Source organism: Homo sapiens, chromosome 2, assembly GCF_000001405.40.
Source record: "Homo sapiens chromosome 2, GRCh38.p14 Primary Assembly".
NCBI classification, from domain to species: domain Eukaryota; kingdom Metazoa; phylum Chordata; class Mammalia; order Primates; family Hominidae; genus Homo; species Homo sapiens.
The window spans coordinates 158,350,364-158,366,985 of record NC_000002.12 but is presented as its reverse complement, the minus strand read 5'-3'; the positions used below and the strand labels follow the sequence as shown (position 1 = coordinate 158,366,985).

Genomic DNA, 16,622 nt, shown 5'->3' with positions numbered 1-16,622 from the left:
ACTTGGCAGAGTTTCCAAAAGTCATGGACCTTAACTATCTTCTCCTCCTTTTAAGAAGGTTTAGGTTACTGAAAGGGCCACTAGACATGGGTAGTTCAACCTAGTGGATATGGAACACAAACTTTTGAAAAGTGAGTACTGTTATTTAAAGAGCCACCAGAAGAGCGTGGAGTGGAAGATGTTTAGCAGGCATCTTTACCTGTGAAAGGGAGAAGAAGGAAGTGGGATTGGGCAGGTGAAGACAACAACTTCAATGCAGGTCCAACAAAGTCTAGGCCAGCGTGGCAGGAAGCTCCAGAGCAAATATTATGTATCAGAGTGTCCTACATTGGGCCCAAATAGCTTTACACCCCTGCCTTCCTCAGTCACTGGGTACGGGCTGCCCCGGAAAGCATATGCCTTTGGACGAGGCTCTTCTCTGCAGCTGAGTCCTAACCTGAAGGGGGTGACAGCTGGAGGCTATCTGTAGACTGCATTCCCACAGCAAGGCAGCGAGTCCTTTGATCTGGCTGGTGCATCTCTGTATCTACCAAAAGTGCCATATTACTTGTAATAGAAGTAGTGAATAATTTATTCTTCAATTTAGGTAATTTCTTTCCTCCCAGGAACACAAAATAAAACACATAACAACTTTCTAATAACAAATTTTTTATCAGTCACTGGAACAATCCAGCGGAGGAGGATTAAGAGGGAAAAAATAGAAAGGACAGGACCAAGAACAAGAAAGGCACAGAAAAAACACTAACAGAGGGAGGCTTCTAGGGGCAAGAAAAGCAAATTTTAATAAAATTAAAAGCATTATGGCACCCAGTCCTGGGTCTTACTTTTAAAAATACTTCAAGTAACACAGCTTTAAAAACATTTATAAAATAATATTATGAAATTTTAGTTCTCTCGTTTCCTTAACAGATACGGAAAACATGAATCAAAGAGACCAACCATTCATGACAATTCAGAGAAATGATAGCTCAGGTATTTTTCTTACTTCCAACTCTGTTTTATTATTTACAGTGGATTATGTACTTTTGAAATGATACACAATTGGAATGTTGATTTTTCAAAATTTTAATAATGGAAAGCTCACTTTCTGGTTACATTGAATGACCGGCCAGTTCTTTACAATGGGTTTGTGTTAATCCTCAACAGTGGTCAGGATACCCTTGCTTTCTTCCTTTTTTTTATTATACTTTAAGTTCTGGGGTACATGTACAGAATGTGAAGGTTTGTTACATAGGTATACACATGCCATGGTGGTTTGATGCACCCATCAACCCGTCATCTACATTAGGTATTTCTCCTAATGCTATCCCTTCCCTAGCCCTCCACCCCCCGACAGGCCCCAGTGTGTGATGTTCCCCTCCCTGTGTCCATGTGTTTTCATTGTTCAACTCCCACTTATGAGTGAAAATATGCTGTGTTTGGTTTGCTGTTCTTGTGTTAGTTTGCTGAGAGTGATGGTTTCCAGCTTCATCCATGTCCCTGCAAAGGACATGAACTTATCCTTTTTTATGGCTGCATAGTATTTCATGGTGTATATGTGCCACATTTTCTTTATCCAGTCTATCATTGATGGGAATTTGGGTCGGTTCCAAGTCTTTTCTATTGTGAACAGTGCCACAATAAACATATGTGTGCATGTGTCTTTATAGTAGAATGATTTATAATCCTCTGGGTATGTACCCAGTAATGGGCTTGCTGGGTAAAATGATATTTCTAGTTCTAGGTCCTTGAGGAATCACCACACTCTCTTCCACAATGGTTGAACTAATTTACACTCCCACCAACAGTGTAAAAGCATTCCTATTTCTTCACATCTTCTCCAGTATCTGTTGTTTCCTGACTTTTTAATGATTGTTATTCTGACTGGCATGAGATGGTATCTCATTGTGGTTTTGATTTGGATTTCTCTAATGACCAGAGATGATGAGCATTTTTTCATGTTTGTTGGCTGCATAAATGTCTTCTTTTCAGAAGTGTCTGTTCGTATCCTTCACCCACTTTTTGATGGGGTTGTTTTTTCTTGTAAATTTGTTTAAGTTCTTTGTAGATTCAGGATATTAGCTGTTTGTCAGATGGATAAATTGCAAAATTTTTTTCCCATTCTGTAGATTGCCTGTTCACTCTGATGATAGTTTCTTTTGCTGTGTAGAAGCTCTTTATTTTAATTAGATCCCATTTGTCAATTTTGGCTTTTGTTGCCATTGCTTTTGGTGCTTTAGTCATGAAGCCTTTGCCCATGCCTATGTCCTGAATGGTATTACCTAGGTTTTCTTCTAGGACTGTTACGGTTTTAGGTCTTATATTTAAGTCTTTAATCCATCTTGAATTAATTTTTCTATAAGGTGTAAGGAAGGGATCCAGTTTCAGTTTTCTGCATATGGCTAGCCAATTTTCCCAACACCATTTATTAAATAAGGAATCCTTTCCCCATTTGCTTGTTTTTGACAGGTTTGTCAAAGATCAGATGGTTTTAGATGTGTGGCATTATTTCTGAGGCCTCTGTTCTGTTCTGTTTGTCTGTATATCTGTTTTGGTACCAGTACCATGCTGTTTTGGTTACTGTAGCCTTTTAGTATAGTTTGAGGTCAGGTAGCATGATGCCTCCAGCTTTGTTCTTCTTGCCTAGGATTGTCTTGACTATGCAGGCTCTTTTTTGGTTCCATATAAAGTTTAAAGTAGTTTTTTCCAATTCTGTGAAGAAAGTCAGTGGTAGCTTGATAGGGATAGCATTGAATCTATAAATTACTTTGGGCAGTATGGCCATTTTCACGATATTCATTCTTCCTATCCATGAGCATGGAATATTTTTCCATTTGTTTGTGTCCTCTCTTACTTCCTTGAGTAGTGGTTTGTAGTTCTCCTTGAAGAGGTCCTTCACATCACTTGTAAGTTGTATTCCTAGGTATTTTATTCTCTTTGTAGCAATTATGAATGGGAGTTCACTCATGATTTGGCTCTCTGTCTATTATTGGTGTATAGGAATGCCTGTGATTTTTGCACATTGATTTTGTATCCTGAGACTTTGCTGAAGTTGCTTATCAGCTTGAAGACATTTTGGGCTGAGACGATGGGGTTTTCTAAATATACATTCATGTCATCTGCAAACAGAGACAATTTAACTTTCTGTGTTCCTATTTGAATACCCTTTATTTCTTTCTCCTGCCTAATTGCCCTGGCCAGAACTTCCAACACTATGTTGAATAGGAGTGGTGAGAGAGGGCATCCTTGTCTTGTGCCAGTTTTCAAAGGGAATGCTTCCAGTTTTTGCCCATTCAGTATGATATTGGTTGTGGGTTTATCATAAATAGCTCTAATTATTTTGAGATATGTTCCATCAATATCTAGTTTATTGAGAGTTTTTAGCATGAAGGGTGTTGAATTTTGTCAAAGGCCTTTTCTGCATCTATTGAGATAATCATATGGTTTATGTCCTTGGTTCTGTTTATGCGATGGATTACGTTTATTGATTAGTGTATGTTGAACCAGACTTGCATCCCAGATATGAAGCCGACTTGATCATGGTGGATAAGCTTTTTGATGTGCTGCTGGATTTGGTTTGCCAGTATTTTGTTGAGGATTTTCACACTGATTTTCATCAGGGATATTGGCCTGAAATTTTCTTTTTTTGTTGTGTCTCTGCCAGGTTTTGGTATCAGGATGATGCTGGCCTTACAAAATGAGTTAGGGAGGATTCCCTCTTTTTCTGTTGTTTGGAATAGTTTCAGAAGGAATGGTACCAGCATCTCTTTGTACCTCTGATAGAATTCAGCCGTGAAGCCATCTGGTCCTGGACTTTTTTTTGGTTGATAGGCTATTACTGCCTCAATTTCAGAACTTGTTATTGTTCTGTTCAGGTATTCGACTTCTTCCTGGTTTAGACTTAGGAGGGTGTATGTGTCCAGGAATTTATCCATTTCTTCTAGATTTTCTAGTTCATTTGCATAGAGGTATTTATAGTATTCTGTGATGGTAGTTTGTATTTCTGTGGGATCAGTGGTGATATACCCTTTATCATTTTTTATTGTGTCTATTTGATTCTTCTCTCTTTTCTTCTTTATTAGTCTGGCTAGCAGTCTATTTTGTTAATTTTTTCAAAAAATCAGCTCCTGGATTTATGGATTTTTTGAAGGGTTTTTTGTGTCTCTATCTCCTTCAGTTCTTCTCTGATCTTAGTTATTTCTTGTCTTCTGCTAGCTTTTGAATTTGTTTGCTCTTGCTTCTCTAATTCTTTTTATTGTGATGTTAGGGTGTCAATTTTAGATCTTTCCCATGCTTTCTCTTGTGGGCATTTAGTGCTATCAATTTCCCTCTACACACTGCTTTAGCTGTTTCCCAGAGATTCTGGTACCTTGTGTCTTTGTTCTCATTGGTTTCAAAGAACATCTTTATTTCTGCCTTAATTTTATTATTTACCCAGTAGTCATTCAGGAGCAGGTTGTTCAGTTTCCATGTAGTTGTGCAGTTTTGAGTGAGTTTCTTAATGCTGAGTTCTAATTTGATTGCACTGTGATCTGAGAGACTGCTATAATATCCATTCTTTTGCATTTGCTGAGGAGCGTTTTACTTCCAACTTTGTGGTCAATTTTAAAGTAAGTGCGATGTGGTGCTGAGAAGAATGTATATTCTGTTGATTTGGGGTGGAGAGTTCTGTAGCTGTCTATTAAGTCTGCTTGATCCAGAGCTGAGTTCAAGTCCTGAATATCCTTGTTAATTTTCTTTCTCGTTGTTCTAATATTGACAGTAGGGTGTTAAAGTCTCCCATTATTATTGTGTGGGAGTCTAAGTCTCTTTGTAGGTCTCTAAGAACTTGTGTTATGAATCTGGGTGGTCCTGTATTGGGTGCATATATATTTAGGATAGTTAGCTCTTCTTGTTCCATTGATCCCTTTAGCATTATGTAATGACCTTGTCTCTTTTGATTTTTGTTGTTTTAAAGTCTGTTATGTCAGAGACTAAATTGCAATCCCTGCTGTTTTTTTTTTTTTTTTTGGCTTTCCATTTGCTTGGTAAATATTCCTCCATCCCTTTATTTTGAGCCTATGTGTATCTTTGCACATGAGATGGATCTCCTGAATACAGCGCACTGATGGGTCTTGACTCTTTATTCAATTTGTCAGTCTGTGTCTTTTAATTAAAGGCATTTAGCCCATTTACAGTTAAGGTTAGTATTGTTATGTGTGAATTTGATCCTGTCATCATGATGCTAGCTCGTTATTTTGTCTGTTGTTGTTTCTTCGTAGTGCTGATGGTCTTTACAATTTGCTACGTGTTTGCAGTGGCTGGTACCGGTTGTTCCTTTCCATGTTTAGTGCTTCCTTCAGGAGCTCTTGTAAGGCAGGCCTGGTGGTGACAAAATCTCTCAGCATTTGCTTGTCTGTAAAGTATTTTATTTCTCCTTCACTTATGAAGCTTAGTTTGGCTGGATATGAAATTCTGGGTTGAAAATTCTTTTCTTTAAGAATGTTGAATATTGGCCCCCACTGTATTCTGGCTTGTAGGGTTTCTGCAGAGAGATCCGCTGTTAGTCTGATGGGCTTCCCTTTGTGGGTAACCAACCTTTCTCTCTGACTGCCCTTAACATTTTTTCCTTCATTTCTACCTTGGTGAATCTCATGATTATGTGTCTTGGGATTGCTCTTCTCAAGCAAAATCTTTGTGGTGTTCTCTGTATTTCCTGAATTTGAATATTGGTCTGTCTTGCTTGGTTGTGGAAGTTCTCCTGGATAATATCCTGAAGAGTGCATTCCAACTTGGTTCCATTCTCCCTGTCACTTTCAGGTATACCTATCAAACGTAGGTTTGGTCTTTTCACATAGTCCCATATTTCTTGGTGGCTTTGTTTGTTCCTTTTCATTCTCTTTTCTCTAATCTTGTCTTCACGCTTTATTTTAGTAAGTTGATATTTAATCTCTGATATCCTTTCTTCTGCTTGATCGATTTAGCTATTGATAGTTGTGTATTCTTCACAAAGTTCTTGTGCTGGGTTTTTCAGCTCCATCAGGTCATTTATGTTCTTCTCTAAACTGGTTATTCTAGTTAGCAGTTCAACTAAGTTTTTTCAAGGTTCTTAGCTTCCTTGCATTAGGTTAGAAATGCTCCTTTAGCTTGGGGGAGTTTGTTATTACCCACCTTCTGAAGCCTACTTCTGTCAGTTCGTCAAATTGATTTTCCATCCAGTTTTGTTCCCTTGCTGACGAGGTGTCATGATCCTTTGGAGTGGAAGAGGCGTACTGGTTTTTGGAATTTTCCGCCTTTTTGCACTGGCTTCTCCCCATTTTCGTGGATTTATCTATCTTTGGTCTTTGATGTTGGTAAGCTTCGGCTGGGGTTTCCGAGTGGACATCCTTTTTGTTGATGTTGATGCTATTCCTTTCTGTTTGTTAGTTTTCCTTCTAACAGTCAGGCCCCTCTGCTGCAGGTCTGCTAGAGTTTGCTGGAGGTCCACTCCAGACTCTGTTTACCTGGGTATCACCAGTGGAGGCTGCAGAACAGCAAAGGTTGCTGCCTCTTCCTTCCTCTGGAAGCTTTGTCCCAGAGGGGCCACCCACCAGATGCCAGCTGGAGCTCTCCTGTATGAGATGTCTGTCTGCCCCTGCTGGGAGGTGTCTCCCAGTCAGGAGACATGGGGGTCAGTGACCCAGTTGAGGAGGCAGTCTGACCCCTAGCAGAGCTCGAACATTATGCTTGGAGATCCGCTGCAAGGAGCTGACAGGCAGGGACGTCTAAGTTTGCTGAAGCTGCGCTCACAGCTGCCCCTTCCTCCAAGTGCTCTGTCCCAGGGTGATGGGAGTTTTATCTATAAGTCCCTGACTCAGGCTGCTGCCTATTGTTCAGAGATTCCCTGCCCATAGAGGAGGAATCTACAGAAGTAGTCTGTCTACAGCAGATTTGCTGAGCTTCAGAGGGCTCCGCCCAGTTGGAACTTCCCTGTGGTTTTGTTTACACTGTGAGGGGGAAACCGCCTACTCAAGCCTTAGTAATGGTAGATGCGCCTACCCCCACAAAAGCTCAATCATTCCTGGTCAACTTCAGACTGCTGTGCTGGCAGTGAGAATTTCAAGCCAGTGGATCTTAGCTTGCTGGGCTCCATATGGGTGGGATCCACAGAGCTAGATCACTTGGCTCCCTGGTTTCAGCCCCCTTTCCAGGGGAGTGAATGGTTCTGTCTCACTGGCATTCCAGGTGCCACTAGGGTATGAAAAAAACTCCTGCAGCTAGCTTGGTGTCTGCTGTAATGTTTTGTGCTTGAAACCCGGGGCTCTGGTGGCATAGGCATTTGAGGAAATCTCCTGGTCTGTGGGTTGCAAAGACCATGGGAAAAAGTGTAGTATTTGGGCTGGGGTGCACCATTCCTCACGGCACAGTCCCTCATGGCTTCCCTTGGCTAGGGGAGGGAGTTTCCCCAACTTCTTGTGCTTCCTGGGTGAGGTGACACCCCACCCTGCTTCGGCTTGCTGTCTGTGGGCTGCACCCACTGTCTAACCAGTCCCAATGAGATGAGCCAGGCACCTCAGTTGGAAATGCAGAAATCACCCACCTTCTGCATCGATCTAGCTGGGCGCTGCAGACCAGAGCTGTTCCTATTTGGCCATATTGCCAGGTCGCCCTACCCTTGTTTTCTTTCACTGTGATTGGCCTGAAATCATTTGAGAGCTTCCTATAGTCATGTGATCCATGATTTACTTAATAAATCCAATTACTTTATATGACACAGATGAATTATTCATATAATTGAGGTGGAAGTACATGTTTTGTTCGATTTACTCAAGTTATTGTACTTTATGCTACTTGAACTTAGAGTAACCCTCACTTATGTTTTACTTTATGTTATGGTTTTCATATCATACCAGACTAGGACATTGTATGTATTTGGATGTAGATTACTCAGACATTTTACATCATTTTAATATTTTTCAACGTATTAAACTTTTAGCTTTCAGTTTCAACCGTTTTTTCAAATTAGTTAAAATTATTTAGATTTTTCTAAGTTAAAAATGCATCTATGACTGAAAAATCTGTTTATATAATTTGATTTATAATGATGTGATACTTAATATTCACAGTTGATGTCTATCACATTTTAAATAAAAAGAATGGGTTAACAGTCGTCATACTTTGTAGCTTGGTATTATAATTTTCTAAAATCTTCAATATATGGTACTAACTTAGATGAAAGCATTCCCTCTGTACCCTTTCAGAAGTAATGCTGTGCAAGAAATAAAGTGGCTATATTATAATAATTTCTAGAAATAGAGGCCTCAAATATATTATTAATATTGTAATATATTATTTCTTATATTTGCTTAAAAATATTTAAAAATAAGATCTGAAGTCAACATGTTGCCCTAATTATATTTTGACTTCCAATAACATGATATTCTTTCTTTGTCATTTTTCTATTTTTATGACTAATAGATAATCTGGTATTCCATATGAAAAATGAGATGAGAAACATCAAGTACAAACCAGTAGACTATCAACAATTGCGTGCATTAACTGAAGCAAAGAAATTGGCTTCTGCCTCTGCAAAGCTAAAGGTTAGAAGTTGTGTGTGTATGTGTTTTTCTAGTTTTAGAAAATCGAATTGCTGGAAAGTATTTACATTGTCAATGTGAAAATAAATGACATTCCAAATAGTTGTTAGAAACTCCCAAGTAGAAATAATAGTGAATAGCAGCTAACATTTATCGAATGCTCTCGGACACCATTATATAGTTTACATGCATTCATACATTACCCATTTAATGTTCAGAACAACTCTTTCAGGTCTGAATTCAACTTTATTTTTTTAAAGACAGTTATTTTATTGGCTTTCAACAACTTCCAACTTAATCTGAAGAATAAAAATTGTTAGTAATTACCAGCCATGGACTATTATCTGATTAAGGCTCCTTCTCCAACACTATACAAATATGTCCTCAGGTGCTCTCTTTTCTAGAATTCTGTTTTTGGCTTAAATATATGTTCCAAGCCAGGGTGAACCTAGGCTAGATTTGAAAGGAGATTATGTGCAAGTGATTTTGCACAGTATTTTAGGACCATGTGTAGTTTAGGATTACTCACACACTGTGATTCTCTCTTGTGCAAATAATAGCGTTCATTGAAAACAGTATTTTCATTACTTGGCTGCATCAAAAAACAGGTTAGGTGAAGCAACTTGTTACGTAATTTACAAGTTATTTGTATTTAAAATTTTCATGGTTTGTTTGTTTTGCCTTTTATTGTTAATATCTTTTTTTATAGAAGGCAATTGTTATTATTTCAAAGCACATTTGATACTCTATTCTGGAGAGATTACCGTATATTCATGGGACATATCTCCTCAAACTAAGGCGACCACTTAAAAGCCAGGGAATTATTTATTTGGTTTATATAACTTTAAAATAAGTTAATGTTATGGGAACATTCAAAGAAATTTTATGGTAAAGTCACTTATATTACTATCATCCTAACAAAACTTTTCATATTCCTGACTTCTGTTTATTGTACACATATATGTAAACATAAACATAATACATATTTTATTTTTCTCATGATAAACATAGGCATGAAATCATGTATACTTTTCTCCCTAATAGTCTATCACATAATCTTTTAAATATTTAATTGTTCAAGCCCATAAATATTTATTATGTGCCTACTATTTGCCTTGAAGATACAATAGTCAGCAAAATATAGCCCTTACCTTTTTTTTTGTTTTTTTTTAAGCCACCCAGGCTATGTTATTTTTTTTTGTCTTCTTTTTTTTTATTTTTTATTATACTTTAAGTTTTAGGGTACATGTGCACATAGTGCAGGTTAGTTACATATGTATACATGTGCCATTCTGGTGCACTGCACCCACTAACTCGTCATCTAGCATTAGGTATATCTCCCAATGCTATCCCTCCCCCCTCCCCCAACCCCATAACAGTCCCGAGTGTGATATTCCCGTTCCTGTGTCCATGTGATCTCATTGTTCAGTTCCCACCTATGAGTGAGAATATGCAGTGTTTGGTTTTTTGTTCTTGCGATAGTTTACTGAGAATGATGTTTTCCAATTTCATCCATGTCCCTACAAAGGACATGAACTCATCATTTTTTATGGCTGCATAGTATTCCATGGTGTATATGTGCCACATTTTCTTAATCCAGTCTATCATTGTTGGACATTTGGGTTGGTTCCAAGTCTTTGCTATTGTGAATAATGCCGCAATAAACATACGTGTGCATGTGTCTTTATAGCAGCATGATTTATAGTCCTTTGGGTATATACCCAGTAATGGGATTGCTGGGTCAAATGGTATTTCCAGTTCTAGATCCCTGAGGAATCGCCACACTGACTTCCACAATGGTTGAACTAGTTTACAGTCCCACCAACAGTGTAAAAGTGTTCCTATTTCTCCACATCCTCTCCAGCACCTGTTGTTTCCTGACTTTTTAATGATCACCATTCTAACTGTTGTGAGATGGTATCTCATTGTAGTTTTGATTTGCATTTCTCTGATGGCCAGTGATGATGAGCATTTTTTCATGTGTTTTTTGGCTGCATAAATGTCTTCTTTTGAGAAGTGTCTGTTCATGTCCTTCGCCCACTTTTTGATGGGGTTGTTTGTTTTTTTCTTATAAATTTGTTTGAGTTCATTGTAGATTCTGGATATTAGCCCTTTGTCAGATGAGTAGGTTGCGAAAATTTTCTCCCATTTTGTAGGTTGCCTGTTCACTCTGATGGTAGTTTCTTTTGCTGTGCAGAAGCTCTTTATTTTAATTAGATCCCATTTGTCAATTTTGTCTTTTGTTGCCATTGCTTTTGGTGTTTTAGACATGAAGTCCTTGCCCATGCCTATGTCCTGAATGGTAATGCCTAGGTTTTCTTCTAGGGTTTTTATGGTTTTAGGTCTAACGTTTAAGTCTTTAATCCATCTTGAATTGATTTTTGTATAAGCTGTAAGGAAGGGATCCAGTTTCAGCTTTCTACATATGGCTAGCCAGTTTTCCCAGCACCATTTATTAAATAGGGAATCCTTTCCCCATTGCTTGTTTTTCTCAGGCTTGTCAAAGATCAGATAGTTGTAGATATGCGGCGTTATTTCTGAGGGCTCTGTTCTGTTCCATTGATCTATATCTCTGTTTTGGTACCAGTACCATGCTGTTTTGGTTACTGTAGCCTTGTAGTATAGTTTGAAGTCAAGTAGTGTGATGCCTCCAGCTTTGTTCTTTTGGCTTAGGATTGACTTGGCGATGCGGGCTCTTTTTTGGTTCCATATGAACTTTAAAGTAGTTTTTTCCAATTCTGTGAAGAAAGGCATTGGTAGCTTGATGGGGATGGCATTGAATCTGTAAATTACCTTGGGCAGTATGGCCATTTTCACGATATTGATTCTTCCTACCCATGAGCATGGAATGTTCTTCCATTTGTTTGTATCCTCTTTTATTTCCTTGAGCAGTGGTTTGTAGTTCTCCTTGAAGAGGTCCTTCACATCCCTTGTAAGTTGGATTCCTAGGTATTTTATTCTCTTTGAAGCAATTGTGAATGGGAGTTCACTCATGATTTGGCTCTCTGTTTTTCTGTTGCTGGTATATAAGAATGCTTCTGATTTTTGTACATTGACTTTGTATCCTGAGACTTTGCTGAAGTTGCTTATCAGCTTAAGGAGATTTTGGGCTGAGACAATGGGGTTTTCTAGATAAACAATCATGTCGTCTGCAAACAGGGACAATTTGACTTCCTCTTTTCCTAATTGAATATCCTTTATTTCCTTCTCCTGCCTAATTGCCCTGGCCTGAACTTCCAACACTATGTTGAATAGGAGTGGTGAGAGAGGGCATCCCTGTCTTGTGCCAGTTTTCAAAGGGAATGCTTCCAGTTTTTGCCCATTCAGTATGATATTGGCTGTGGGTTTGTCATAGATAGCTCTTATTATTTTGAAATACGTCCCATCAATACCTAATTTATTGAGAGTTTTTAGCATGAAGGATTGTTGAATTTTGTCACAGGCTTTTTCTGCATCTATTGAGATAATGATGTGGTTTTTGTCTTTGGCTCTGTTTATATGCTGGATTACATTTATTGATTTGCGTATATTGAACCAGCCTTGCATCCCAGGGATGATGCCCACTTGATCATGGTGGATAAGCTTTTTGATGTGCTGCTGGATTCGTTTTGCCAGTATTTTATTGAGGATTTTTGCATCAATGTTCATCAAGGATATTGGTCTAAAATTCTCTTTTTTTGTTGTGTCTCTGCCCGGCTTTGGTATCAGAATGATGCTGGCCTCATAAAATGAGTTAGGGAGGATTCCCTCTTTCTCTATTGATTGGAATAGTTTCAGAAGGAATGGTACCAGTTCCTCCTTGTACCTCTGGTAGAATTCAGCTGTGAATCCATCTGGTCCTGGACTCTTTTTGGTTGGTAAGCTATTGATTATTGCTACAATTTCAGATCCTGTTCTTGGTCTATTCAGAGATTCAACTTCTTCCTGGTTTAGTCTTGGGAGAGTGTATGTGTCGAGGAATTTATCCATTTCTTCTAGATTTTCTAGTTTATTTGCGTAGAGGTGTTTGTAGTATTCTCTGATGGTAGTTTGTATTTCTGTGGGATCGGTGGTGAGATCCCCTTTATCATTTTTTATTGTGTCTATTAGATTCTTCTCTCTTTTTTTCTTTATTAGTCTTGCTAGCGGTCTATCAATTTTGTTGATCCTTTCAAAAAACCAGCTCCTGGATTCATTAATTTTTTGAAGGGTTTTTTGTGTCTCTATTTCCTTCAGTTCTGCTCTGATTTTCATTATTTCTTGCCTTCTGCTAGCTTTTGAATGTGTTTGCTCTTGCTTTTCTAGTTCTTTTAATTGTGATGTTAGGGTGTCAATTTTGGATCTTTCCTGCTTTCTCTTGTGGGCATTTAGTGCTATAAATTTCCCTGTACACACTGCTTTGAATGTGTCCCAGAGATTCTGGTATGTTGTGTCTTTGTTCTCATTGGTTTCAAAGAACATCTTTATTTCTGTCTTCATTTCGTTATGTACCCAGTGGTCATTCAGGAGCAGGTTGTTCAGTTTCCATGTAGTTGAGTGGTTTTGAGTGAGATTCTTAATCCTGAGTTCCAGTTTGATTGCACTGTGGTCTGAGAGATAGTTTGTTATAATTTCTGTTCTTTTACATTTGCTGAGGAGAGCTTTACTTCCAACTATATGGTCAATTTTGGAATAGGTGTGGTGTGGTGCTGAAAAAAATGTATATTCTGTTGATTTGGGGTGGAGAGTTCTGTAGATATCTATTAGGTCTGCTTGGTGCAGAGCTGAGTTCAATTCCTGGGTGTCCTTGTTGACTTTCTGTCTCCTTGATCTGTCTAATGTTGACAGTGGGGTGTTAAAGTCTCCCATTATTAATGTGTGGGAGTCTAAGTCTCTTTGTAGGTCACTCAGGACTTGCTTTATGAATCTTGGTGCACCTATATTGGGTGCATATATATTTAGGATAGTTAGCTCTTCTTGTTGAATTGATCCCTTTACCATTATGTAATGGCCTTCTTTGTCTCTTTTGATCTTTGTTGGTTTAAAGTCTGTTTTATCAGAGACTAGTATTGCAACCCCTGCCTTTTTTTGTTTTCCATTTGCTTGGTAGATCTTCCTCCATCCTTTTATTTTCAGCCTATGTGTGTGTCTGCACGTGAGATGGGTTTCCTGAATACAGCACACTGATGGGTCTTGACTCTTTATCCAATTTGCCAGTCTGTGTCTTTTAATTGGAGAATTTAGTCCATTTACATTTAAAGTTAATATTGTTATGTGTGAATTTGATCCTGTCATTATGATGTTAGCTGGTGATTTTGCTCGTTAGTTGATGCAGTTTCTTCCTAGTCTCGATGGTCTTTACATTTTGGCATGATTTTGCAGCGGCTGGTACCGGTTGTTCTTTTCCGTGTTTAGGGCTTCCTTCAGGAGCTCTTTTAGGGCAGGCGTGGTGGTGACAAAATCTCTCAGCATTTGCTTGTCTGTAAAGTATTTTATTTCTCCTTCACTTATGAAGCTTAGTTTGGCTGGATATGAAATTCTGGGTTGAAAATTCTTTTCTTTAAGAATGTTGAATATTGGCCCCCACTCTCTTCTGGCTTGTAGGGTTTCTGCCAAGAGATCCGCTGCTAGTCTGATGGGCTTCCCTTTGAGAGTAACCCGACCTTTCTCTCTGGCTGCCCTTAACATTTTTTCCTTCATTTCAACTTTGGTGAATCTGACAATTATGTGTCTTGGAGTTGCTCTTCTCGAGGAATATCTTTGTGGCGTTCTCTGTATTTCCTGAATCTGAACATTGGCCTGCCTTGCTAGATTGGGGAAGTTCTCCTGGATAATATCCTGAAGACTGTTTTCCAACTTGGTTCCATTCTTCCCATCACTTTCAGGTACACCAATCAGACGTAGATTTGGTCTTTTCACATAGTCCCATATTTCTTGGAGGCTTTGCTCATTTCTTTTTATTCTTTTTTCTCTAAACTTCCCTTCTCGCTTCATTTCATTCATTTCATCTTCCGTTGCTGATACCCTTTCTTCCAGCTGATCGCATTGGCTCCTGAGGCTTCTGCATTCTTCACGTAGTTCTCGAGCCTTGGTTTTCAGCTCCATCACCTCCTTTAAGCAGTTCTCTGTGTTGGTTATTCTAGTTATACATTCTTCTAAATTTTTTTCAAAGTTTTCAACTTCTTTCCCTTTGGTTTGAATGTCCTCCCGTAGCTCAGAGTAATTTGATCGTCTGAAGCCTTCTTCTCTCAGCTCGTCAAAGTCATTCTCCATCCAGCTTTGTTCCGTTGCTGGTGAGGAACTGCGTTCCTTTGGAGGAGGAGAGGCACTCTGCTTTTTGGAGTTTCCAGTTTTTCTGTTCTGTTTTTTCCCCATCTTTGTGGTTTTATCTACTTTTGGTCTTTGATGATGGTGATGTACAGATGGGTTTTTGGTGTGGATGTCCTTTCTGTTTGTTAGTTTTCCTTCTAACAGACAGGACCCTCAGCTGCAGGTCTGTTGGAATACCCTGCCGTGTGAGGTGTCAGTGTGCCCCTGCTGGGGGGTGCCTCCCAGTTAGGCTGCTCAGGGGTCAGGGGTCAGGGACCCACTTGAGGAGGCAGTCTGCCCGTTCTCAGATCTCCAGCTGTGTGCTGGGAGAACCACTGCTCTCTTCAAAGCTGTCAGACAGGGACATTTAAGTCTGCAGAGGTTACTGCTGTCTTTTTGTTTGTCTGTGCTCTGCCCCCAGAGGTGGAGCCTACAGAGGCAGGCAGGCCTCCTTGAGCTGTGGTGGGCTCCGCCCAGTTGGAGCTTCCTGGCTGCTTTGTTTACCTAATCAAGCCTGGGCAATGGCGGGCGCCCCTCCCCCAGCCTCGCTGCCGCCTTGCAGTTTGATCTCAGACTGCTGTGCTAGCAATCAGCAAGACTCCGTGGGCATAGGACCCTCCAAGCCAGGTGCGGGATATAATCTCGTGATGCGCCGGTTTTTAAGCCGGTCGGAAAAGCGCAGTATTCAGGTGGGAGTGACCCGATTTTCCAGGTGCCCCTTTCTTTGACTCGGAAAGGGAACTCCCTGACCCCTTGCGCTTCCCAAGTGAGGCAGTGCCTCGCCCTGCTTCGGCTCGCGCACGTTGCGCCCACCCACTGACCTGCGCCCACTGTCTGGCACTCCCTAGTGAGATGAACCCGGTACCTCAGATGGAAATGCAGAAATCACCCGTCTTCTGCGTCACTCACGCTGGGAGCTGTAGACCGGAGCTGTTCCTATTCGGCCATCTTGGGCTATGGTCAGCCCTTACCTTTATGAAGTTTACTGTTTGCTGGGGGAGGGAGAGGAGTCAGTGTTTATCAAATAAGCCTGGAAGTAAAATTATCCGAAGTATAAACTGCAATAAAAACCATGCTGTTTGGTGTATAATAGGATTTGATCTTCACTGAGTGGTTAGGGAAGGCTTTTCTGAGGAAGTGATTTTGGAATTGGGATCTCAAGGCCAATAAAGTATGAAGTTACAATGAGATAGGAGGAATCAGTTCTGGTGTTCTATTGCACAGTAGGGTGAGGATGAGTAACAGTGAGGTATTGTATATTACAAAACAGAAGAGAGGCTGTTGAATATACTCCCCACAAAGAAATGATAAATGCACACGACGATGGCCGTGCAAAATACCCTGATTTAACGTATATTTTATATAACATATATATGTATCAAAACATCAAATTGTGCCCATAAATATGCACAATTACAATATGTCAATTAAAAATATAATACAAAAGAATTAACTAGGTAAAAACAGGAGTGACAAGTACTCCAAAGAGAAAAAGATGCATGCATTATCCCACCCCAATTTTTAGATATTTGAGATGTATCCAATTTTGTGATAATAGAAATTATGCTACTTCAAGCATAGATACTTTTCATGTTTTAGAATCCTCTACTCTCATAGGAAAAATTCCCATGATTGGGACATCTGGACCAAAAGTGTGAGTGTTTTTTAGTGTTTTTGAGACCTGTTACCAAATTTCTTTCCCAAGGTATTGTTTTAATAAAGATACCAAACAAATGTATTCTCTACACCCTTGTCAGTATTGGAATAGATAAATAAATATTCATACATGTATATATACACACTTATATTTCTAATACCATC

At 39.4% G+C, this 16,622-nt stretch overlaps 1 protein-coding gene across 3 annotated transcripts in view; it reads left to right on the top strand.

The window, feature by feature from the left end:
* The window catches only part of CCDC148 (coiled-coil domain containing 148), a 285,681-nt gene that overhangs the window by 89,768 nt on the left and 179,291 nt on the right, over positions 1-16,622 (top strand). For all 3 annotated transcript variants that reach the window (NM_001301684.2, NM_138803.4, NM_001301685.2), the window contains exon 2: positions 8,416-8,537. Coding sequence is in view for 2 of the 3 variants with exons in the window: in NM_138803.4 (NP_620158.3) it covers positions 8,416-8,537 (122 nt within the window). In the remaining variant the exon portion in view is untranslated. The remainder of the gene's footprint in view (positions 1-8,415; positions 8,538-16,622) is intronic.